Here is a 25,671-nt window from a genome sequence, read left to right on the forward strand (position 1 = left end):
ATACACATACTTTACTAATTTTTAGCTACTACTAAGATTATGATGGAATTAAATTCATAAAAAAAGCTTTTTATCTCAAACAATGATATCCATGTTTGAAATTAGGACAACATTGTTTCTTTTATCCTAGTAAGAATTAGCTAAGATTACTCAAAAAAAAAAAAAACAATGCTGTTTTAGTTTGTTTTGTGAAGCTGTAACAGAACACTACAGACTGGGTAATTTATAATGAAGAGAAATTTATTTGGCTCATTGTTCTGGAGGCTGGGATGTCCAAAAGCATGGTGTCCACATCTTCATGAAGTACTACCAGGGAAGGCCTTTGTGGTGTGTCATCCCGTGTCATAAGACAAAAGGACAAGAGAGGAACAGAGTGAACAAGAGATTGAAATTGCAACCTCAAGCCCTTTTATAATCAGCAGTAATCCATTCATGAGGGTGGATTGCTCATGACCTAAAGGCCTCTCATTAGGCTTATCTCCCATCCCTCTTGCATTGGGATTGTGTTTTTAACACATAATTTTTAGGGGACATACTCAAACTGTAACAAATGCCAAGTTACTGTATATTGTCAGACAAAATATACAAGGTGTGAACTCCAGAAATATCATCTCTACAACTAGATGACATATTGTTAAGTTATACGTAATATGACTATTTTGTATAATACAAGAAATTACTAAATTATCCAGATATCTCTCCAGGTCATTCTCAAAACAACTTAGTTTAAAAATAAATTAAACAGCAGACTAGCTTCAACATTAACTATAGTAAAAAATATTATGGTTTTTTGCAAGTACATTTCAGAATAGTATTTTGGTTTATTATGTTAATGCTGTTTTCACATATGATCATGACTGAGAAAACTCACTGGTTATGTATGGTCTGAACAGTCAGAAAAGTTTAATTGCTAATTTTGTATATGTATATTTTTTATTTTAAAAGGAATGCTCACTTTAAAAATAATAATAATAATACAATGAGGGTTATACTAAAATGTACATTAAAACAATTTCCATGAACTTTAATTTTTGCAATGTAATAGTATTAGGTATATTTGAGACTATGTATGTTAAAAAAGGCATCCAATAATAGATTATAATTTCAGGTGAAATGTTTAAAATGTTTAATTCTCATCCAAATCTAATTTTCTTTCTACATAGCAATACCATTTATTATTATTATTAAATATCAGCATTTTAGCACTGTAAAAATATAAAATATAGGCTGGGCTGAAGGAAGAGAAAGACCCTCTCATATTATTTTATATTGTTTTATACTCAGTACTTGTTTTAAGAAAAAACAACAAGGAAGTAAAACCAAAGACAGGCAGCCTGACGCCAGGCCCGAAACCAGGCCTGGGCCTGCCTGGACTAAATCCAGTAGTTAAAAATCAACTCATAACTTAGAAACCAATGTTATTCATAGATTCCAGACATTGTATAGAAGAACACTGTGAAACTCCCTGCCCTGTTCTGTTTCGGTCTGACCACCAGTGCATGCAGCCCCTGTCACATACCCCCTGCTTGCTCAAATCAATGACGACCCTTTCATGTGAAATCTTTAGTGTTGCGAGCTCTTAAAAGGGACAGAAATTGTGCACTCGGGGAGCTCGGATTTTAAGGCAGTAGCTTGCCGATGCTCCCAGCTGAATAAAGCCCTTCCTTCTACAACTGGGTATCTGAGAGGTTTTGTCTGCGGCTTGTCCTGCTACAGGGCGATATGGCCCACATTTGTAATCCCAGCATTTTGGGAGGCTGAGATGGAAGGATCACTTCAGCTCAAGCATTTGAGACCAGCCTGAGCAACATAGGGAGACAGTATCTCTACAAAAATTTTTTTCTAAAAATTAACCAGGCATGGTCATATGAGCATGTGGTCCCAGCTACTTGTGGGGCTCAGGTGGGAGGATCTCTTGGGCATGGGAATCAAGGCTGCAATGAGCTGTGATTGCACTACTGCCATCCAGTTTGGGTGACAGGGCAAGGCCCTGTCTCAAGGCCCTATTTTGTGGGATCTCATTTATTTAATAATTATTTTTTTTAGATATAATACAGAAGAAATAAAGTTTTAAATTATTTGTATGTGTCTAATATATGGAACAATGTAATGTTTATATGTCAGATACTTCCAAAGTGTAATGCCTAAGGTTCTTGCCTAGCCACGCCAAAGAATTGGTGTGGTGGCTGTGATAGAGACACGAACAAAGAGCGAGAAAAAGCTGTAGGCTTTATTGAGCAGAGTGAAAGTACAAAGCTTCCACAGCGTGAAAGGGGTCCTGAACGGGGTAGCCACTGCTGGACTTGGGTGATCGCCTTTTAAACTCTTTAAGGCGGGAAATACGTGCGGCAGAAAGATGTTACCAGAGCAAGAAATGAAGGCAGTAAATTATTTTGTGACATGTCTTAGATTTTGAGGAAAACCGGAATTGCAACTTAGGTTTTATCTACTTTATGACCTTGCAGTGGCATGGCAAAGGAGACAGGATCTTACAGGACTTTACAAAGTATGTTTACAAGGAATTGGAATTGGGGGTATAGATAAGGTCTGCTGGTCACAGAAAACCGGCAGTTAACATTCCTTTTACTTTAGTTTCAGGGAGGGGGAAGAGAGGGAGACAGGAAACAGGGAAACTTACAGCAAAATTTTCGCTGTTTATAGCTTTCTTGGGGAAGAAAACACATGCACAAATCCTGGTGTTAGGAATATTTTAAGCATATATCTTCAATATTATTCATCCAGGACAGAAGGAAGTCCTGATGCAGGAAATGACTGAGTTTCTGAGCCCCTACTCCACCCAGGAAGCCCAGCTGGCACCTCCCCTCAAAAGGACTCAGTTTACATGACACTTAATAGTCACACATAGTTGTAAATAACATATGTATATATTAATCTTTATATATTCATACATGCAAGTTACCTAATTGCTTAATTCTAGAATTAAATTATACACAGCTCTGAAACATGTTTATTAACTGTACCATTTGTGCCAAGGTTGTTTTCGATGAACTAATGCACAGGAAATCTACAAATACCTGTCATTTATGAGTCATTTTTACTTTCTAGATGTTTACATTAAAATAATAAAACGTGTGAAATAAATAATAATATTGTAAGTATTGTCCTAAAAAGAATATGCTGCTAGATTTCAGAAGGGACTTAAATTATATTTTTTTGTTTTCCATGTTTAAAATAATAATTTGCCTCACATAATACAAATACATACATTTTGGGGATTTTTCTCTAATTAAAGAATAATTTTAAAAATATTTATTAAAACTTTAACACAGAGAATTTCATTATTCAGTTAAGGTAAAGTGGAATCTCATTTGTTGGAAACTATATTCTAGAATTATCTTATAAAATGATTCAAATTAGAAAAGACTCAGTATTGCCCATAGGAATGGAAATCAACTAGGAAAGTTGACTCACTAATTATTTAGCAGACTTGAATAAATTGGTATCCAAAAGGATTACTGCCCAAAAGCCTGCCCTGGGGTCGGAACAGGTGTTGTTTCCTCAGAATTCTGCATTGCTGCTATTTCAAGGAGGAATTCAAAAAGACAACCCAGGGAAAGAAAATCCCATCTATGTGACATGAAAAGCATGACTCCTAAGTTACTTTATATGCTTTCTCCTTCTCAGTTATTTCCTAGACTTCTTTCTGTCTCAAATAGATCCCTTACCAATTGCAAAGCAGCTGGCATAAGTCTTCTCCTGAAAATGGCAATAGCACCCTTGCAGCAAATCTCAGGCACACAGGTGTTCCAAGGGATCTGAGATACAGCTAGGCAGAAGCCAAATTTCAGGTAGAATCACCCATAAAGGTTATGACTATGAGGCCAAAAATTGTCTACTAATCTTCCTTCCAAAGGTTTACTGCTCAAGGCTACACTTAAGAACCTTCCTCCTCAAAGTGAGTTACCATTAAATTCCTGTGCAACTGTTTGGGAGATTGTTTTGGTTGGAATTACAGTGGTATAATGACTGCAGTGCTCATTGCCTCTGTGCATAACACTTGCAAGTTCTTTAGTCCTTATTAGCTCTCAAACACTTTAAATGACTTTGAATACTTTGCTAAGCACTCTGAGTAGGAGTTTAAAAAGTGGTCTATTGTTCCTGATGCTAATTATTACAAATTGTCACTCAGTCTTGACAGCAGATGCTTTGTCTTGCTGTTTTCCGTGGGCAAGAGGCTATAGAAACTTTGCTTTGGGGGGAAGAAAAGGAAAATGAAAAAGAAACTTTAGGTCTTGAGGATCACTTCTTTATTTGCACTACAAATATAATTTGTGTGTGTTTGTGTGTGTGCTCAAAGTGTAAACCAAAAAGTATCTAAGTCTCAATCAAGTTGGAAGCTTATTTTGACTAAAAGTTAAGGACATGCCTGTGACATAGTCTCAGGAGGTCCTGATATGTGCCTAAGGTGGTCAGGCTAGGGCCTGATTTCTTACATTTTAGAGAGGCATAAGACATGAATTAACACATGTAAGATGTATATTGGTTCAGTCTGGAAAGGAAGGTCGACTAAAAGTGGGGGAATGTTCAGGATGGATTTCAGGGCATAGGTGGATTCAAAGATTTTCTGATTGGCAATTGGTTGAAAATGTTTATCTAACAAACTGTAATCAATAGAAAGAAGTATCTGGGTTAAAATAAGGGGTTGTGCGGGAGGCAGAGGTTGCAGTGAGCTGAGATCGCACCACTGCACTCCAGCCTGGGCGACAGAGCGAGACTCTGTCTCAAAAAAAATAAAAATAAAAATAATAAATAAATAAATAAATAAATAAATAAATAAATAAATAAATAAATAAGGGATTGTGGAGACCAAGGCTCTTATTATGCAGATGAAGCCTCCAGGTAGCAGGCTTCAGAGAAAATAAATAAATCAGACTTAAAGATTTAACGTCTCTGTTTTAATGTTAATGCAGGCCAGCCATGCCTGAATTCCAAAAGAAGGAAGATATGATGAGACGTGTCTGACCACCCATTTCCATCATGGCCTGAACTAGTGTTTCAGGTTTACTTAGAATGCCATTGGTGAAGAGGAGGGATCCATTCAGTTGGCTGAAGGGCTGAGAATTTTATTTTTGGTTTACCAAAGAAATCAATTTGTATGAAAGTAACATAAAGTTACATCAGAGGAGTCTGTTTTTTGAATATAGAATAATGAATCTGAGGAACTCTCCTGAGCATAATTTTACTTTTCTTGGGATCTCAGCTTTTCTGGATGTTTGTTAATAATTCTTACTGAATAAAAGATGCACTCATTTTTTTCCTTGCTTTCTTATCCAGCTCTACCATCTCCAGTCGTTTTATTTTTAAATAATTAATCGTGGAGGTGAAATCTATTCATAACAGTGTTCCTGAGTCTGAACACCATTTTCAGATTTTTTTTTTTTATCTTTGCCTAATCCCAGACAGGCAAAGGGACACTGCATCTGTGGCAGCAGATATTGTGTATCACATGAGAGTTTAATATAATAATTAATTTTGGATGCATCCTAATTGATGGAAGTAATTGCCTTAAGTATCAGTTTACAGACTAAAACCTTGACACATCTCTTACAGAAAACATTCAATTTAGGAACAGATTCAGGTATGTGGAAAAGCAAAATCCAACGCAGAGCTTACCTCTTAGGTTGTTCACTACAGGGATACCTTTTGAGAAAATAGATATTAGCTAGGAATACTAGGCAGAAATGTAGGAATATAGAAGTGAAGCATATACCACCTTAATATGCATCATGCCCAAGCTATTAAGTTTATCTTATACTATACGTTAAGTTATGAGTTCATTTGCTTTCAACAAAAATGCTAGCATTGTTACAGTAAATTTAGAAATCCTAAGAGAGGAGAGGACCCTCATGTTATTTCGGTAGAGAAAGGTAACACATGGCTGATGACCCCATTCTATGAGTAGGAGAATTAGTCACTCGTGATTTTTGTGTTCTTAAGCTATAAACTTATTTTTTTACCTATAAACTTCAGTTTATAGTTAATAGTTTATAGCTAATCTTGGACTTAGAAAATGCCCTTCTTTATAGACCAATCTTTTTGTCATACCAAAATTATTTCAGCTAAATCTCTCAAGAGTATTATATTAGAGATTTCAGCATCAGACTCTTATAAGTGAAAACCCATATCTGCCCTTGTTTACAATGGTGAATCCGTATCGGTCTGCAGCAACATCACTTCTTGCCTCCTCAGAAGAAAGAATTCCACTGAAGGGCATAAAGCAGAAGGAGAGACTGAGGCAGGTTTTAAGAGTTGGAGTGAAAGTTTATTAAAAACCATTACAGCAGGAATAAAAGGAAGGAAAGTACACTTGGAAGAGGGCAAAGCAGGCAATTTTAGTGAGTCAAGTGCCTGGTTTGACCTTCTGACTAGTTTTTGTTTTGTTTTGTTTTCTTTTGTTTTGTTTTGTTTTGTTTTTGAGACGGAGTCTTGCTCTGTTGCCCAGTCTGGAGTGCAGTGGCGTGATCTCGGCTCACTGCAAGCTCTGCCTCCTGGGTTCACACCACTCTCCTGCCTCAGCCTCCCGAGTAGCTGGGACCACAGGCGTGTGCCACCATGCCCAGCTAATTTTTTTTGTATTTTTAGTTGAGACGGGGTTTCACTGTGTTAGCCAGGGTGGTCTCGATCTCCTGACCTCGTGATCCGCCCGCCTCAGCCTCCCAAAGTTCTGGGATCACAGGCATGAGCCACCGCGCCCAGCCGACTTGGGGTTTTGTATGTTGTATGCATGCTCACTTGAGGCATTCTTCCCTTAGCGGTGGAATGTCCCTGGAAGGTCACATACCAGCTAAATTCCACCATTTTTCCTCTTAATGCACATGCTTGAGCTTACTTACCCAACTCCTGAGATCTTATTGGGAAGCTACTTACTGGGAAGCTACACCAGTTTCAGGTGTTTCTATCTATCGGGAAACTGCCTTTCCCTGACACCAGCTGTAACCAGTTGAGACAGCCAGGTGGGAGGGGAGACCCTGGAGAAACTTCAACCAGCCTGCACACTGAGGTGGAGTCTCAGGAAGTTCCTGCCCTTTGAAGCAGGGAGGAGCCTGGCCCGGCCTCTTTCTATGTGGAACCTAGAATTGGAACCTGGAATTTGAACTGCAGGTAGGAAGGACTCTAGCAGGGCACTCTGGCCTAGCGAGAGTCCCTGTTTTCCCCTTTTCTTCATTTTCACCCAGTAAAAACCTATCTTACTCACCATTTAAATTGTCTGCTTGCCTGAATTTTTGTGGCAGTGAGACAAAGAACCCTGTCTTTAGCTCAACTAAGGGAGAAGTCCTGCAACACAATTATTATTTCAGAGAGGCAGTGTGACAACTGCCTAACTATCACCTGATGGTTTCCTGACATTCCTGGTGGGAGAGCAGTGAGCGGTGTGGTGGCAAGGTGCTCTCCTTCCCTGCTCATGCCTGACTAGCTACCTACTGTAACACCCTCTTCATATAGCAGGAATAGTGCTGATGGTAAAAATCCTAAATCAAATGTCCAATAGGATGATGGGAGCTGGTCTCCTTCCAAAGTACACAAATTAGTCTAATAAATTGAAACTCTTTAACAGTGTAGACTTTTTTTTAAAAAAAGAATAAATTATGCACAAATCCTAATTTATCACAGTAGTTTGCAGTAGTTAAGCTGATCCATAGAGTTTTGGTTTCTTTTTAGCAAGCCTTCATCTGACCTTTAGAATAGCTGAGTTAGGCCAGCATTAAAGTAATTAATCTCAGCATTCTTGTCATCATGTTGGCATCAGCAATTGGGGAATGCATAACATGTGTGTTATGTAGATCCCTAGACCAAATAAAAGCAGGCTGTGATATATAAATTAAAGACTTTTATGACTCCTAAACAATATTATGGCTTTTTAGTGAAAACCTGGAAGGAAAAGTATAAGCAAAGTTTGATCTCATGTTTATAACTTTCATAAATTATTAAACTGAACCTGGGTTTTTGTGGTAACTGTAAATGAAAATATTTCTTATATATTTATGTGCCAGGTAGGTTTTCGTATGTACCACTGCTAGTTTAAAAAGAAAAAAAATACTAACTTTATTTACTTTGGAATGGAGTGGGGTTAATAGAGATTAATACAAAGAAACAAAAAAAGAGCAGCCATTTCAGACCTCTAACAAGAGTCTAGAAAACAGGCAGAGAACAATCAACAAACTATCATCTCAGATTTCTTGTGACACTACTCACTGTCTTAAGGGATGGCGTATGTAAAAATACCAGTCTGGAAGGGGAGCGAATCCGTGTCAGCTATACTTTATGCCTTCAGAAGCTTATATTCAATGGAGGAATACAATTCTCAATTGAATTATTCTTTCCTTTGCCCTTATGGAAATATTTGTTGTGTCCACTATTTCATGAGATGTAACCATGAAAAATGTTCCATGGGGAGTGTAAACATCAATTAATTTAATTTCTGTTAACTAAACTGAGGAAAATTTTCATAAATATAGACTTTGAGCTAGACAACTGCTGTGAAAAATTTCTATAGACAGATATTGTGCCAAGGATATGGGTATTTTTGGAGAACTCTCTAGGCACATTCATTTTTAATTAAAAACACATAATGTTGTCATTAAACACATACAGAAAATAATTTATAGTGTTTGGAGGAAGGCTATGTACCAGCTTTTCGACATGCTTTTCCCAATAAAAAGAAGTTGAAATGTACCTTGGCCCAAAATTGCCTTTATAATGACAATATAAATAATGTGTTGTGAATCATAATCAAGTACAGTCAGGCTTTATTCAATAACCCAAACAACTAATTATATGCCATGCTAGATAAATCAGAGTAAATATAACAGAAGCTAGAAACAGCTGGGTGGACGTCTAGGGACTTTGATGCTTTCTTTTTTTGCAGATAAAGTCAGCATACCAGGGACACAATTTTTTTCAAAAGATTTGAGAGTCTTGGAAAATTCTATTTATGAGATACTTTAAATTCAATAGATTACTTTTTAGAAGTAACATATTTGATCATTATACAATAATAGAAATAAGAATATAATAATATAGAAATTAAGAAAATAAAGAAAAATCTTAAAAATTAATAAAATCACCACTATTCTAAGAACGGTGGCTCCTGTAAGCCTTGTACATGTTACTGTGGGTTATTTCCACTGCATGTTATACAACTTTATTTTTTTATTTGCCACAAATTATATAAATGTTTATTTTCCTATGTCTCTTATTCACTTGACCATTGTCTCTACAAGAAATCTGGTTCATGGTTTATTTAACCTTGTCTTTAAAGTATCATTTAGTACACAATTAACTACTTACTCTCTTATTCCTGAAACACTTTTGTTTCTTGGATTAAATTAATTTCTTCAAGTTTTATGGTTTCTTTTTTTTTTTTCTTGGTTCTATTACAAAAACCTGGAATGGGAAGAGGGAAAAACAGCAGAGTGCATGCTCCTTTTAGAGAGAGACAGAGAGTACCCAGCTCCTTCCTCTTTTTGCTGGATGGGAATGCAAGCCCAGTGCTGCCTGAAAAATTTTTTTTTTCTTTTTTGCTAAACATAATGAGAGATTTTATTCTCTCAAGAAATACATATATTTTTTCAGCTAAATTAATTTTTAAAATATAGTTTGTGGGATAATGCTTCACAGTTCAAAAATAATATGAAAAACAGATATAATGAGTAGATCCAGAATTTCCTGTTTTTGACATATACCATGTATTCTTCATTCATGTTTTGCCTTATTTTTATTTATTTTATTTTTTGGAGACAGTCTTGCTCTGTCGCCAGGATGGAGTGCAGTGGTGCGATCTCAGCTCACTGCAACCTCCGCCTCCCGGGTTCAAGGGATTCTCCTGCCTCAGCCTCCTGAGTAGCTGGGACTACAGGCGCACGCCACTACACACAGCTAATTTTTGTATTTTTAGTAGAGACGGGGTTTCACCGTGTTGGCCAGGATGGTCTCAATCTCCTGACCTCGTGATCCGCCCGCCTCAGCCTCCCGAAGTGCTGGGATTACAGATTCATTCATGTTTTTAATGAGAAATAATTTTGCATTATTTACAAATTTTGTTTTAAATTGATAATGGAAAGCTCAGTGTTAATCAGCCAGTGGAAATCTGACTTGTTGGTGACTGTGGCACCATCACCTCTATAAATTGTTTTGTTGTGGTTATGGGTTCTAGTTTTAGACTACCTACTAGCTTGTCCGAAGTACTGACAAATCATCTACTAACTATGTGCCTTTGTACAAGTTCTTTTTTTTTTTTTTTTTGGAGATGGAGTCTTGATCCGTCATCCAGGCTGGAGTGCAGTGGCGCGATCTCAGCTCACTGCAACCTCCGCCTCCCAGCTTCAAGTTATTCTCCTGCCTCAGCCTCCCGAGTAGCTGAGATTACAGGCATGCACCACCACGCCTGGCTAATTTTTTTTTTTTTTTTTTTTTTGTATTTTTAGTAGAGATGGGGTTTCACCATGTTGGCCAGGCTGGTCTCAAATTCTTGCCCTCAAGTGATCCTCCCGCCTCAGCCTCTGAAAGTGCTGGGATTACAGGGAACCACTGTGCCTGGCTTGAATTCAGTTTTTATATGTCCAGAATGGAAGTCATAATTATACCTACCTCTTGAGCTATGATGGCAAAATGAAAATCAATATAGGTATCATGGTGCCTGACGATGTTAACTGTTGTAATTTTTTTCCTTCTCCTCCTTTTATTTTTCTTCCTCTGCCTCTTTTATTTTCCCTTCTCAGTAAATCAAATCTCAATCCAGTTATTCAAACCAGAAATATGAGTGGGGTTTTATCCTTTATTTCACTGCCCCCGTATCTAAAATATTACTATATTTATTTGTGTCTACTTTTTAAATACTAGACTTTAAAAATAATAATGAACAGATCATACTTTAGTTTTAAAAGTTTATATTGCATCCCAACTCTTTTACAGTGAAGTCCAAGATGCTTTTTTCGTTTTTTAATAGCTATATTGGATAATACGAGTAGTGCACAGTCACTTAATTGGAAAAACTGATCTCTGCTATTTAATAGACTTTCGGCAGTTGTACTGATGGTATGGGTGATGTTGTATTTATGCCAGTTTAGTTCCAGGTATATGTGAATGCAGAAGCCCTAAGGGATGTAATATGAAGAACTGAAGAGTAATTGAGGAGTTTTTGATTTTTTTTTCTTCTCCTCCTTCACTTTTCCCTCTTCTACCTCCTCTTTTCTTTTCCCTTTTAATTGTTTCGAATTCAATCCAGTTATTCAAAAGGGGGCAGGATTCTCCCACCTTGGCCTCCCAAAGTGCTGGGATTACAGGTGTGAGCCACTGTGCTTGGCCAAGGAAATGGTATATATGTTTATATATGTAGTATAGGAATCTCTGAGGACAGAGAAAATCAGGCTATTATCAGTGCCTTTCCTAAAAGGCAAGAGGGCAGATTAACTCTCTTCTTTAACCAGCCCAAACACTGTTGGACTGGTTCGTGCAATGTATTTTAGTAAGAACTTCATTGAAAGCAAAGCCTGTGACAAGGACTTGTATGGAGGTAATTTATTTGGGAGTGTTTCCAAGTAGCACAAATAAATGTGTGAAGAAAGTAAGACCGGGGGTGGTGGGGCAAGAAAATAAAATAAAGCATGCATTAGTAAGGTCCTTTCTGTTGACCACAAAACTTGACTCCTACAGGCCTTCCAAGAAGCATGGAGTATTTTCCAGAATTGTCCATATAAAGAGATGTGGCTGAGGTAATTATCCATTGGCTCATTCCCCATTGCTAGGCCCAGGTGTAATTCCTTAACTTCTGACTTCTGTAAAAGCCACAAGGAAGAAATATGAGAGCTATGCTCTTGAAGTAGAGACTTTAGGCTGCATGTAGTCTGAGGGAGCAATTAGAAGGGATGTCAGGTTCAAAAACTATCTAATACAAATTACCGTGAGCATAGAAAGCTTTCACAATGTTTAACTTTACACTTGGAAATAAATTAAAACTAATAGGGAAATTCCAAAAATAAAAAGTACAGTGCATCTATATACCCTTTTCCCAGATTCACTAATAGTTAAACTTTTCTCTCATTTGCTTTCTGTCTTTTTCTCTTGAGAGAGAGGGAGAAGGTGAGGGAGAAAAATAATATTTTGAGCCATTTACCTAGCATAACTTTTATCCCCAAAACTTTAATGCATATTTTCTAAGAATATAGACATTTTGAGTTATAACTGTATATCAGTCACTATTTAGGATATATACAATATTTATATCTAATCTACCATTTATATTATAATTTTGTCAGTTAATTTAACAATGTCCTTTGTAGCACTTTTCTTCTTCTATTCCCATAACCAGTGCTTAACCTATTTTGTAAATTTTTTCAAAATAACAGGAATTTGATTTATTAAGTTGATGTTATTATGTTTTCTCTCTAACAGAATTTGCTTTTATATTTATTATTTTTTCGTTATATTTTCTTTGGATTATTTTGTTGTTACTTTTCTTTAAATTTTGAAGGGGAGAATTAAATTCATTTAAATTGTTAGTCTTACATTTTTACTAATGAGCATCTCTTCGACTGGAGAATTTCTTTTTATCACTACTTTAAGTATATGCCATAGATTTTGATAGGTAATGCTTTTCATTATCACATTTTTTCAGAAATCCTAAAATTTCTGTGTATTTTCCTTTTTTCCTCAAAGGTAATTATGTAAGAAGTCTTAATATCCATGTGCAAGAGAAGTTTAATTTTATTTTTCAGATTGTTTTGTCTTATTTATACATTATAAAATTTACTGATTTTTTTGTGTTTTAATGTAAATATTTTTGGTCTTTTCATATGCAAGTGAAAATAAATTATGTTCTATTACTGGAGTATATTGTTGAATGAATATCTAAGAAACTGACCTTATCAATTTTATATTTTATAGACTTATGTAATTTAATTTAAATTTTGTCTGCCTTACTACTTTCAAACTGAGAATATCTTAAAATCTCTTATTAATACTGTGTTTTTATAATTTCTTATGATATCCTCGGTATTTTTGCTTTTTATAGTTTCTGTGTTATTTGGTACATATATATTTAAATGATAGTTTCATTTTTATAGCTTTGATCATTCACTTTTTTTTTTAATCTCAGTTAAAAGGTTTATGCCTCAAATTCTACTTTGGAATCAAGATTGCAACCCCTTATTGTCTCACTGTTTCTTGTTGGATTGTGAGGACTTGCCCATTCCTTTGTTTTTGCCTTTTTTAATGACTGTTTTAAAATGTTGTCTTGATTAGAGCATAAAGTTGAGTTTGCTTTATGTTGTTTGTTTGTAGCTGAGTTAAGCCCTAATCACATTTATTGACATAACTGTTTTGTTTGGTCTCAAATCTGTCATATTATCTTGTTATTATTTTGAGTGTTATATTTACTATGTTTTAAAAAAATCATTTTCTGTGTCTTTGCACCATTTTAAAAGGTTATTTTAGTACTTAGGAAAGTCTGTATTTTCATTTTAGTAATTACCTTTGTTTTAATATTTTTAAAAATATTTTTCTTATTTAACACTTTATTATCATTTGTGTTCATTTTATACAGCATTTTTTGTCTGGCACCTACTACGTATCAAACAGGCAACAATCATTCTACTCTTTCTCTCCCAGTTTTTCGTTGCATCCTTTCTATTTTGTCAGAGTGCATATGTTTACATATAATTCTTCAACCTCAAAACCCCACTCTTGTGGTAGTCTTAGCTCAATAATTAAATACATAAAATGGCCAATATCAATTTTTGGCTGAAATTTTCCTAGTCATATTTTGGTTGGATAAAATTCATCCTCTAATATATTTCTCAGACAAAAAAAAAAAAAAGTTTTCTGGTTTTTTTTCTTTTTTTTTCTTTTTGGAGACAGAGTCTCGCTCTATTGCCCAGACGGGAATCTTGGCTCACTGCCACCTCTGCCTCCCCGGTTCAAGCGATTTTCCTGCCTCAGCCTCCTGAGTAATTGGATTACAGGCGTGTGCCACCACACCCGGCTAGTTTTGTATTTTTAGTAGAGAAGGGGTTTCACCATTTTGGCCAGGCTGATCTTGAACTCCTGACCTCCACTGATCCACCCATCTAGGCCTCCCAAAGTGCTGGGATTACAGGCATTGGCCACCGTACCCAGCCTCAACATTCTTCAACATTATCTATGGCTTTGAGACTTGAAAGAAACCTTAGCTGGATATAATGTTTTTGGTTCCTGAATTCTTTCCTGAGCTTCTTGAAAATGCTGCTGCACTATTGCTTTGTTATTTTTCTCCCCTAAAAGTAGAAGAGGTAGAAATATTTACTTCTGAATCTTCTTTGAGGAAAAGTTTTGTCATTATTCTCTCTTTCTCTCAAATTCTGCATTTCTGACTGCCAATATTTTTCTTCTTTCTTAATCTCTCTCTGGTTTACTTCTCTCACTTGCAAAATAGGAATAATGATTGCATTAATGTCACTGAGTCAGTGTAAGTATAAATGAGATTATACATGTAAACTTTTTCTGTAAAATGTCTGTCATGTACTAACAACTCAATATGTATTTGTTATTAGTGATATATAATTGCATACACATATATTAGAAATAACAATCCACAGCAGGAAGCATATAGCTGAGTATTTCAACTTACTTCCTCTTTGATTTAGTATCATTCGTATCTTTTCAAAGCAGGAAAATTCTGTTACAAAAAAATCCATATTTTATTATCAAAAAGTTAACACTGTGGTCTAACAGAAAGGTGTACCATATGGTATTCAGGGTATAGATCTTATTTTATAGCATGTTAATTGTCAGGGTGATATAGCAGAGAAATATAAGGTTTCAGAGATTGTATTTGGTTATAAAACAGATGCATCTTCTGTTTGTTACCAGGTAACAAATTTAATTCAATTATGTTGATCATTTCATTGGTGACATAAGATAAAAAGAAAATAAATTTACTATGCTGAAATCAACTTGTATACACCTATAAACTTCATTTTGTGTCTAGCTAGTGAATGCATTTTGCTTTTATGGGATGTATGAATAATGATTGTATATTTATGCACAGGTACTTTAACAAGAATTGAATCAGATAACTGTAGATATATTTCTTCAATCTAAATTGGTTGAAAATATTATGTAGAAAACATTATAGTATTGCCCATTCCATTCCTTGCTTTACTAAATTGTGGGACTTAACTATAAAAATTATTTTTAAAATATCTACCATTAGAAAAAGCAGTGTTTATTGCATATCTTCTACATGTCTAAACTTGTACTTTTACTTTGTCCTAGAAGAATGCAATCAACTTTGGAACAAGTTTTATATTCATGGAAGTACTCAGTTAACTATATAATGCATTTAGTTTCAAAAAATGAAGCATCCAGCAAATATACACACAAATTCATTTGTTTAGGCAATAATGAAGTAAATACAGTTTTCCAAACTGCCTAAACAGCTGGAGATTTTTCATTAATTATGGCATTTTATTAGATAAGAAACAAATATAAAAACAAAATGGTAGATATTAAAATCATAAGGATTTCTTACCTCCTGAGATGATGTAGTTGCATTTAGTTTATGTCTAAGAGTTAGGTAAAGCTGCTGGCATCATCTTCAGTATTTTAAATCTAGAGAAACTTGAACCAAAGCAGTTTAGGGAACTAGCTCAATATCTTGAACACCTGTGATCTACATATTTTTAAAAAGCCTTATTCTTAGCGTAGTAAATTTTAATTTATTATAAAGGAGATAAATGCAAATAGATCTAACTCATTTTAGATAGCTAAACAGCTGCTTTTGTTTGATGGAACAAAACGTATAAAAGGTAGTTATTTTAAGCTCATGCTAATATGATTGATTCATTACATAACTCTCTACTGCTGATTTTAACTCTTGCTTTTCTACTCTTTATGGATCCACCAATTTAAATGATAACGTTCATTGATACTACCTTGCAATAGCAAATTGCGATGAATTACTGGTTAACCAGCAGCCCTTGAATAGGCACTGAGCCTATCAGCTGATATTTTATGGACAAGAAGTTTGGTTACCGTGGGAGCTACTGCTGCTGGAATTTTTTTCTCTCCGCATAGAAATGTCAAATTTTGTTTGTGCAGGACAGAAAAAAAAATAAGAGCATGTTTAATTGAAGTTGTGATGATAAACGTATGTCAAAGCTTCCTTCCTTTGTAACTAGATAAATTGTATTTTGTACGAACTCTGAAAAAAAGTCCAAGTCAGGGCAACCTTGTGGACAAGAATATAGCTGTTATAAGTACTGTTCTGAATGACAAAACTCTATGGGGCAGAGGGAGGGGCAGTTCTTTTCTGCCAAGTATCAAGTTCTGAAAGAACAAAGAAATCTTTTCATGGGTAGGGGAGGCAGCTGTTGATAGTGAAGGAATCTTACAGCAGCATATAGAAGCAACTACCCTTTCCAATAACCACTTAAAATTGTCTCCGCTCTCTTCAAACTTCCCTTTTTGCTAACTTCCCATTTATCTACTGCCCATGATTTGCTTTCTACCACAAAGAGAAAATAGATGCCACCAAAAGGCATTTTTATTTATTATTTATTTATTTATTTTACTTTTTTTCTCAGCTTGGTTGGGAGAAACTGAGTGACACACTTCCTGTGGTGAAGTTTATATTTCTGAAAATCAGGAAATCCAATAATACGGGTTTCAGTATTTTTTCTTTTTTTAATTAGAAAACTAACTGATGGTGATGATATTGGTCCTTACACACATATTCACACTCACATCCACTGTTGTTTATTACAGAAACGCAAAGTCTCCTGGGCCAATTTCAAGCTCACACTTTCCTTTGAACTGATTTTCATAACCTTGTGGCTCAGAATACTCAATGTCTACAATTAATTACACAATAGTCGTATTTTTCTGGATAGGTATTCTGTTTTTTTGTTTTGGTTTGGTTTTTGTTTTTGTTTGTGTTTTGAGACGGAGTCTTGCTCTGTCACCCAGGCTGGAGTGCAGCAGCACGATATCGGCTCACTGCAACCTCCGCTTCCTGGGTTCAAGCGATTCTCCTGCCTCAGCTTCCTGAGTAGCTGGGATTACAGGTGCCTGCCGCTGCGCCTGGCTAATTTTTGTATTTTTAGTAGAGACGGGATTTCACCATCTTGGCCAGGTTGGCCTCGAACTCCTGACCTCGTGATCTACCTGCATCGGCCTCCCAAAGTGCTGGGATTACAGGCATGAGCCACCGCGCCCGGCCCTGGATAGGTATTCTTATGGGTTGAATTGCTTTCCCCCAAAATCCTATGTCGGAATCCTAACCCCTAGTACCTTAGGATCTGAACTTACTTGAAAATATTTGGTCATTGCAGACATAATTAGTTAAGTTTGAATGAGGTTATAGTGGAGTAGGATGAGCCCCCAATCCAATATGACTGGTGTCCTTATAAAAAGAAATACAAAGATAAAGAGACAGCCATAGAGAGGTGACAATATGAAGAGACACAAACATCCAAAAAGATGGCCTTCTGCAAGCCAAGGAGAATGGCCTGGAACAGGTTCCTTCCTCTCAGCCCTTGGAAGGAACCAATTTTTTTCTAAGGAATATTTTAATATAAAATTAAGAAAAAAAGGAAGAAAAAGGAACTGAACCTGCCGACACCTCAATTTTAAAATTATAGTCTCCAGAACTGTGTGCCAATAAATTTATCTTGCTTATGCCATACAGTTTGTGACTTTGTTACTGCAGCTCTAGCAAACTAGTATAGATGTAATGCCCATCGTAGCTCTGACATAAATTTTGAATAGTTTGAACTGTTCGGCAGTCTAGCCATTTAAACTATTCTGTCTTAGCTCTCCCACTACCCTAAAACAAGTTCTTACATTTTTCACTAATACTTTGACCTCCCATTTGGTTTCTTACATCTAGTCTTGCACTTTTACAAATTAATAAGGTATTCAAATTGACCTTTTAAAAATCAGCCATTATTAAGTCATGTTCCTGATTACAGTCTTTCACTAAACGCTCACTACCTCAAGGTTAGAATCCAGAAATGTGGGCTTCAGAAGACAATTTTGAAATGAACTCTGTTACCTACCTCTCCAGCATCATCTCTCAGCACGTTGCCCTCATTCTCTCTGGCGATTCTCATTTCCCTTCTCATTTCCCCAAATGTGTGAAAACCTCTCTCAAGCATGCTTAAACATTTTTACTGACAAGGAAATTTTATGCAAAAATTTTTGAGACCATGGTAGTGTTTACTGAACACTTGTCTACTTCACTGTTTCATACATTTCATGAGGCCACGGCTGCTTCATCAATTAACTTTACCCACAGAGGCTAGAAAAATTTGACAAGCGACCAGTATTCATTTCAATTACTTACTTAATTAAATGTTTGAATAAATGAACGTGGACATAGACTGCTTAATATTGGGTCACTAAATCTGATGAGTGATGGCAAAAAATGTTGCAGTATTTTCCAATCCTTTAAAGAAGTTACCCATTACTAGGTACCTACATCTTCAGGCTCCTGTTTTGGTACATCTTCCCATCTGTTATTCAGTTCTCTCTAAATCACCTCAGTGCATTTGCTTAGCTTTCCTCTAGCTATCTTCAAGCTGCGTCATAATGTAGTGGCAAGGAGCTCAAGCTTTGATGTCAAAATGTCTGAGTAAAAATACAGGCTCTGGCATTTACTGTTTGAATTACGTATGAAAGAGTCATTGCTGGATACTATGATAATAGTATTAGTTTGGTGCAAAAGTAATGGCAAAAGCACAATTACTTTTGCACCAACCTAATATCAACTGGTTCATAAGTCCAGTGACCTTCATTTGGATTTCTTGGTACAGTCCCTGTTTACACTGTTGTCTTAGCATGACATTCAGCTTAGTGTGAACACGACACTTCACAATTTTTATGAATTTTTACCTTAATAGTTGCATTAAAATAACCAGGGTGGATGTGGCAAACTTTACTTCTTCCAGTTTCCAATATAGTCTTTTCTATTAGGATATGAGAACCGTGTTAACTAGTATTTTTATCTGAAGAATGTGAGGTGATAAACTATGTCTCTTTCCAGATACAGACAACTACACATGTCTTTCAAGAACAGTTTGCTGGGTGTTGACCAACATCAAACTGCTTATCCAGGAACCACTAGAAGTGAATCTCTTCTTGAGTATTCCATACTGCTGCCCCTGCTATTCACTTGGGGTCCCAGTCAGTTGTTACTATGTATCCTTTCTCAGTGTATGTGATATGCCATGTGCCAGACCACCAAACTGTGGTGTCAGAGGAAAATGTGAGGCATTGTAAGATGAAAATTCATAGAATATATGTGGAATATAGAGGCTAAGCAGTCTGCCATCAATGGAAGCATAGCTTGAACACTCTTAACACAAATATTTGGTCATTCATTGTATGGTGTAAATCTAATAATATTTTTTTCCTTTAACTACCTGATAAGTGATACCTTTTTTTGGCAGGGGGTGGGTGGGGGGTTGTTGTTCAATAGATCATTTCAGAGGAATTAGCTCTAAAAACAAAGAAAAAAGAAAGATCGTCATAAATTATGGGGCTTCTCTCTTAAGGAAGTTTATAGTGAACGTATAATTTCCATAACATGTTTGCAGATATTTGTCATCTATTGTGAGAGTCGTGATATCACCTTCCACATCAGTGATACTGAGAAGGAACAAATCTGCCAAAGATGCTTCACAGTTAGTTGTTACCTTTTTAAGAAGACTGTGCTTGAAAATTATGGTAAAACACATTTAGAAGAAGGATGTGCATTTTCACATCAGTCTATGAAGTATAACTTGACATTTAAATTAAAATGCTGTTCTTCAAAATTAATTTTTCCTGTTTTAATTCCAAGTTTTCTTGTACAGGGGAGAAGAGGTAAGGGGTAGCTCTAATGTGTTGGCTTCATTCACAGAAGAAACATTTTTATAAACAGTTAAGTGATGCCAGCTTTCTGTTGATGCCATCAGATCTTGCAAGCAAAAAATAAGTTAATTTCAATATCAGTTGATATTATTTCATTCAACCTATGTAATAAAGACTCTGTCTCCATTTTTGATGTCTGATTACTGCTGGCTTTTAAGTTTCAGCCCTCCCATTTCCTCTCTTGCTCCACATGTAGGCAAAGGGATAAAAAGCCCATTCCCTCCATCCTTTGACAGTAGGAGGAAGTTCAAAGCATGCAGATCTCTGTCAGTGCACTGCCCCTCACACATCTCAGCTCCCCTTTCTGACCACAGTAAAAATCAGAGCCACTCTACCCCTCTCTTTGCTGAGACCATTTTTACACCTGCTTGGAGCCTTTCCTATTCTCTCCAGAAAGTCTTATATGTGCAATAAATCTTTTCATATCCTTTTGGCATGTGTGTTATCTGCCTTACCACACAAACCAAATTTTGAGTTCAGCCTGCCAAAAGGAAATATTTTGAATGCTATTTTAAATTAAAATAATAATATTGAGATAGAAATTTATTTATATTAATAATACAAAGAAAAAGTTTTTGAAGAATTTTTTTGATATAAAACAATGATCTACTAAATTAGAAAGCTAAGGATTTCAGATTTTATAGAGAAACAGAGTGAATCTCATATACACATATATAAAATGTATATATATGTAATGTGTATATATGCATATATATACATACATATGTGTGTGTGTGTGTATATATATATATATATATAGAGAGAGAGAGAGAGAGAGAGAGAGATTTATTGCAAGTAATTGGCTTATATGATTATGGAGTCTGGCAAGTTCAAATCTATCCAGTGGGCTAGCAGGCTCAAAACCCAGGAAAGCCAATGGTGCAGTTACAGTCTGAAGACTGGCAAGCTGATGCTCACAAAGTGTCAATGGTACAGATTAAATTGAAAGGCAATCTGCTGAAGAATTTCCTCTTGTTGGGAGAGGCCAGTCTTTTTTTTTTTTTTTCTATTCAAGCCTTCATCTAATTGGATGAGGCTGAATCACATTATAGAGGTCAATCTGCTTTACCCAGAGTTCACTTATTTAAGTATTAATATCATCCCGGTACACCCTCCAAATTATTTCACACATAAATTTAGTTATCAGAGAGTGGAAATATAATTGGCATTGTTTGTAGTGCATACATAACTTATAATTGTTCTCCCCAAAGCCTGTGTTATGCTACTAATTGGCATATATATAAATTGTGTAAACATATCTAAATATGTTTGTATGTGTGTACATATTATAATTATAGTAATGGAATGATAAAACTTGTGAAACAGTTAAAAAAAAACCTCATTCTTCACTATGGAGTACAAGGTTTTTCTCTTTGCTTATGATTATAAATATTATTTTTTTAAGTTTTTAAAATTATTTATTTGAAAATGTTGATTGCATAATTTCCACTTTTCTTTAAAAAAATTATTTCCATAGGTTTTTGTGGAACAAATAGTGTTTGGTAACATGAGTAAGTTTTTTAGTGGTGATATGTGAGATTTTGGTGCACCCATCACCCAAGCTCCCAAACCCAATTTGTAGTTTTTTATTCCTCACCCCCTCCCACTCTTTTTCCTGAGTCCCCAAAGTCTGTTCTACATTCTTATGCCTTTGTATCCTCATAGTTTACCTCCCCCTTATAAGTAATAACATATGATGTTTGGTTTTCCATTCCTGAGTGACTTCACTTAGAATAATAATCTCCAGTTCCATCCAGGTTGCTGTGAATGCCATTAATTTGTTCCTTTTTAGTGCTGAGTAGTGTTCCATTGTGTATATGTGTGTATATATACACACACACACACACACACACATATATACATATACATATATATACATATACATATATATATACACACATATATATATCTCACAAATGCTTTATCCACTCACTGATTGATGGCCATTAGTGTTGGTTCCATATTTTGCAATTGCAAATTGTGCTGCTATTAACGTGTGTATGCAAGTATCTTTTTTTGTTTAATGACTTCTTTTCCTCCGGGTAGATACCTAGTAGTGAGATTGCTGGATCAAATGGTAGTTCTACTTTTAGTTCTTTAAGGAATCTCCACACTGTTTTCCATAGTGGTTGTACTAGTTTACATTACCATCAGTAGTGTAGAAGTGTTCCCTTTTTACCACATCCATGCCAACATCCGTTATTTGGATTTTTTGATTATGGCCATTGTTGCAGGAGTAGTTTGGTATCGCATTGTGGTTTTGATTTTCATTTCCCTGATGATTAGTGATGCTGAGCCTTTTTAAATATGTTTGTTGGCCATTTATATATCTGCTTTTCATAATTGTCTATTCATGTCATTAGCCCACTTTTTGATGGGGATATTTGTTTTTTTCTTCTTAATTTGTTTGAGTTGTTTGTAGATTCTGGATATTAGTCTTTTATTGGATGTATAGATTGCAAAGATTTTCTCTCACTCTGTTGGTTGTCTGTTTATTGTGCTGACTGTTCCTCTTGCTGGGCAGAAGCTCTTTAGTTTAAGTCCCGCCCATTTATCTTTGTTATTGTTGCATTTGCTTTTGAGTTCTTGGTCATGATGTCTTTGCCTATGCCAATGTCTAGAAAGGTTTTTCTGATGTTATCTTCTGGAATTTTTATAGTTTCAGGTCTTAGATTTAAGCCCTTGATTCATCTTCAATTGATTTTTGTATAAGGTGAGAGGTGAGGATACAGTTTCATTCTTCTACATGTGGCTTTCCAATTATCCCAGCACCATTTGTTGAATAGGATGTCCTTTCGCCACTTTATGTTTTTGTTTGCTTTGTTGAACATCAGTTGGCTGTAAGTTTTTGTTTGCTTTGTTGAACAACAGTTGGCTGTAAGTATTGGGTTTATTTCTGGGTTCTCTATTCTGTTTCATTCATCTGTGTGCCTGTTTTTATACCAGTACCATGCTGTTTCGGTGACTATTTCCTTATAGCATAGTTTGAAGTCAGGTAATGTGACACATTCAGATTTGTTCTTTTTTGATTGGACTTGCTTTAGCTATGTGGACTCTTTTTTTGGTTCCATATGAATTTTAGGATTGCTTTTTCTAGTTCTGTGAAAAATGATGGTGGTATTTTAATGGGAATTGCATTGAATTTGGCATTTTTGCAATATTGATTCTACCCATCCATGAACATGACATGTGTTTCCATTTGAGTCTTTGAAAAACTTATTAAATCACTCGGTGTGTCCCATCATATTTTAAATAAAGAATGTATTAAATTGTATTTGCATTTGTTCAGAAAATAATGGAAATCTTTCATTAAATTATTTTATAAATAGAATGGCCAAGTTTTTAAAAACTTAGCCTTTTGAAGACTTCAGTTAATTTCAAGTTTTTAACATAAAATTTTCCAAAGAAAGACCTCTTCCATGTTTCCCACAACCTAAACTCAGCAATCATCATTTTGATCCATGACATCCTCCATGCTTGGTTTATATACCACATGACAGGCACTGAAAAATTAGATGATGACTACTGAAATATGGTTAGAAGTTTTAATTTTAAATCATGTAATTATAATTTGAAATGTCAAATGATGGGATGAATCCTCAAATGGAATTTCTATTTTAACTGCATAAATACATATATTCTATATTGAAGTGGAACACGAAATTGCAAAGGAAAAAATTAAGCACAATGAAAACTTGGCCAAATATTTACACATTTTGTCTTGCAAAAGATTTCTAGAGATTCATTATTCTCAATGACAACATTAAACCAGTATATGTGAAAATATTTTACAGATAAGTAATTTAAGTATATCAATAATCTAATTAACTATAAAAAGCAACATTGATGAAGATTAAAAATTAGGAATAAGACAGTATCAAATATGTTTCTTTTCTGAGAAATACCAACCCATGAATATTAGCTAAAAATCTGATTAAAATATATAAGTATGCAGCAAATAATACTTATCTGGCTCTTTAATTTCTAAATACTAGATAATTTAGTTATATATTTTAAAGTTACGTAATTTTGAAATATATGTATATATACACATATACACATATATACATATACGTATATATACACATACACACATATATACACGTACGTCTATACACATATACACATATATACACATACATCTATACACATATACATATATACATATACGTCTATACACATATACACATATATACACGTACGTCTATACACATATACACATATATACACATACATCTATACACATATACATATATACATATACATCTATACACATATACACATATATACATGTACGTCTATACACATATACACATATATACATATACGTCTATACACATATACATATACGTCTATACACATATATATACATATACGTCTATACACATATACACATATATACATATACGTCTATACACATATACACATATATACATATACGTCTATACACATATACACATATATACATATACGTCTATACACATATACACATATATACATACACATCTATACATGTATGTATATACACACACATACATGTATGTATATACACACACATACATGTATGTATATACACACACATACATGTATGTATATACACACACATACATGTATGTATATACACACACATACATGTATGTATATACACACACATACATGTATGTATATACACACACATACATGTATGTATATACACACACATACATGTATGTATATACACACACATACATGTATGTATATACACACACATACATGTATGTATATACACACATACATGTATATACACACACATATGTATATACACACATATACATATATGTATATACACACATATACATATATGTATATACACACATATGTATATACACATATATACATATATGTATATACACACATATGTATATACACATATATGTATATACACATACATATATGTATATACACACTATAAATATAAATATGCACATATACACGTATTTATATGTGTGTATATATACATAAATGTGTATATATATGTATATATACATATATAAATATATAGATGATGAACACAATAGATTTTGCTTGGTAGATGGACTTATAAGAATAGTTCTAATCAAATTCATATCAAACATAAAATTTGTACTAAAACAAATCAGAAACCCCACATATTCCCATCTTTGCCTTATTAACTCTCACGCATCATTCAAGCCTCACTTCAAAGAGCTCTCGGATCCCCTTTGGGATCTCTTCCATGATTCTGTAAGCTGATCTAAGCACTCTCCAGGCCTGTTCTCCTGCTCTTACAACAATACAGTAAAATGATCACTGTACTGTTTCTCTCTTCAATAGATTAGGAAGCATTCAAAGTCAAAGACCTAAATTTATAACACTTTAAGTCATGTTTTAGGCATCAAATAGGTGCTTTTTAATTGAACTAAGCACATTTTTCTGGATGTAATTTTGTTTTCTTGGAAAATGATAGATAAATGTAGATATGGAAAGATGAAAAGGTGAAAATCCTTTTGCATTCAAGCTATGCTCCTGAGGAAAGTTATCGGATTCTGGCGTATGTCACTGATGAATAATGGACAATTTCATTGGCATGAAATTTTCTAAAGATAGTCCATGATCTTTGCACTGTTTCTCTCTCCAATAGATTAGGAAGCATTCAAAGTCAAAGACCTAAATTTATAACATTTTACTGCTATTGATATCAAAGTGCCATCTTTTGTCCTGTATAGAGACCATTGAATATTTGTAGGATATGTATAATGGTTTCTT

The 25,671-nt window shown here is 34.8% G+C and overlaps 1 long non-coding RNA gene across 2 annotated transcripts in view, besides 3 other annotated features; it reads left to right on the forward strand.

Moving 5' to 3' along the window:
- The window catches only part of LOC105377436 (uncharacterized), a 60,586-nt gene extending 40,552 nt beyond the window's left edge, over positions 1–20,034 (forward strand). Inside the window, exons 1-3 of one of the 2 annotated variants that reach the window (XR_939211.3) lie at positions 7,075–7,122; positions 19,040–19,194; positions 19,593–20,034. This is a non-coding gene — a long non-coding RNA (uncharacterized LOC105377436). Of the gene's footprint in view, positions 1–7,074; positions 7,123–19,039; positions 19,195–19,592 lie in introns of those variants that run through there. The other variant, XR_939214.2, reaches the window with a different exon arrangement.
- Positions 3,542–4,280: an enhancer, noted in NCBI's record as "OCT4-NANOG-H3K27ac hESC enhancer chr4:135545237-135545975 (GRCh37/hg19 assembly coordinates)". NCBI's record gives its function as "activates a minimal SCP1, AML or CMV promoter by ChIP-STARR-seq in naive and primed H9 embryonic stem cells {active_cell/tissue: H9 hESC(naive and primed)}" and the evidence as "EXISTENCE:reporter gene assay evidence [ECO:0000049][PMID:30033119]".
- Positions 6,145–6,645: an enhancer, noted in NCBI's record as "H3K4me1 hESC enhancer chr4:135547840-135548340 (GRCh37/hg19 assembly coordinates)". NCBI's record gives its function as "activates a minimal SCP1, AML or CMV promoter by ChIP-STARR-seq in naive H9 embryonic stem cells {active_cell/tissue: H9 hESC(naive)}" and the evidence as "EXISTENCE:reporter gene assay evidence [ECO:0000049][PMID:30033119]".
- Positions 6,646–7,146: an enhancer, noted in NCBI's record as "H3K4me1 hESC enhancer chr4:135548341-135548841 (GRCh37/hg19 assembly coordinates)". NCBI's record gives its function as "activates a minimal SCP1, AML or CMV promoter by ChIP-STARR-seq in naive H9 embryonic stem cells {active_cell/tissue: H9 hESC(naive)}" and the evidence as "EXISTENCE:reporter gene assay evidence [ECO:0000049][PMID:30033119]".
- Positions 20,035–25,671: the final 5,637 nt, after the last annotated feature.

Source organism: Homo sapiens, chromosome 4, assembly GCF_000001405.40.
Source record: "Homo sapiens chromosome 4, GRCh38.p14 Primary Assembly".
Lineage (NCBI taxonomy): Eukaryota > Metazoa > Chordata > Mammalia > Primates > Hominidae > Homo > Homo sapiens.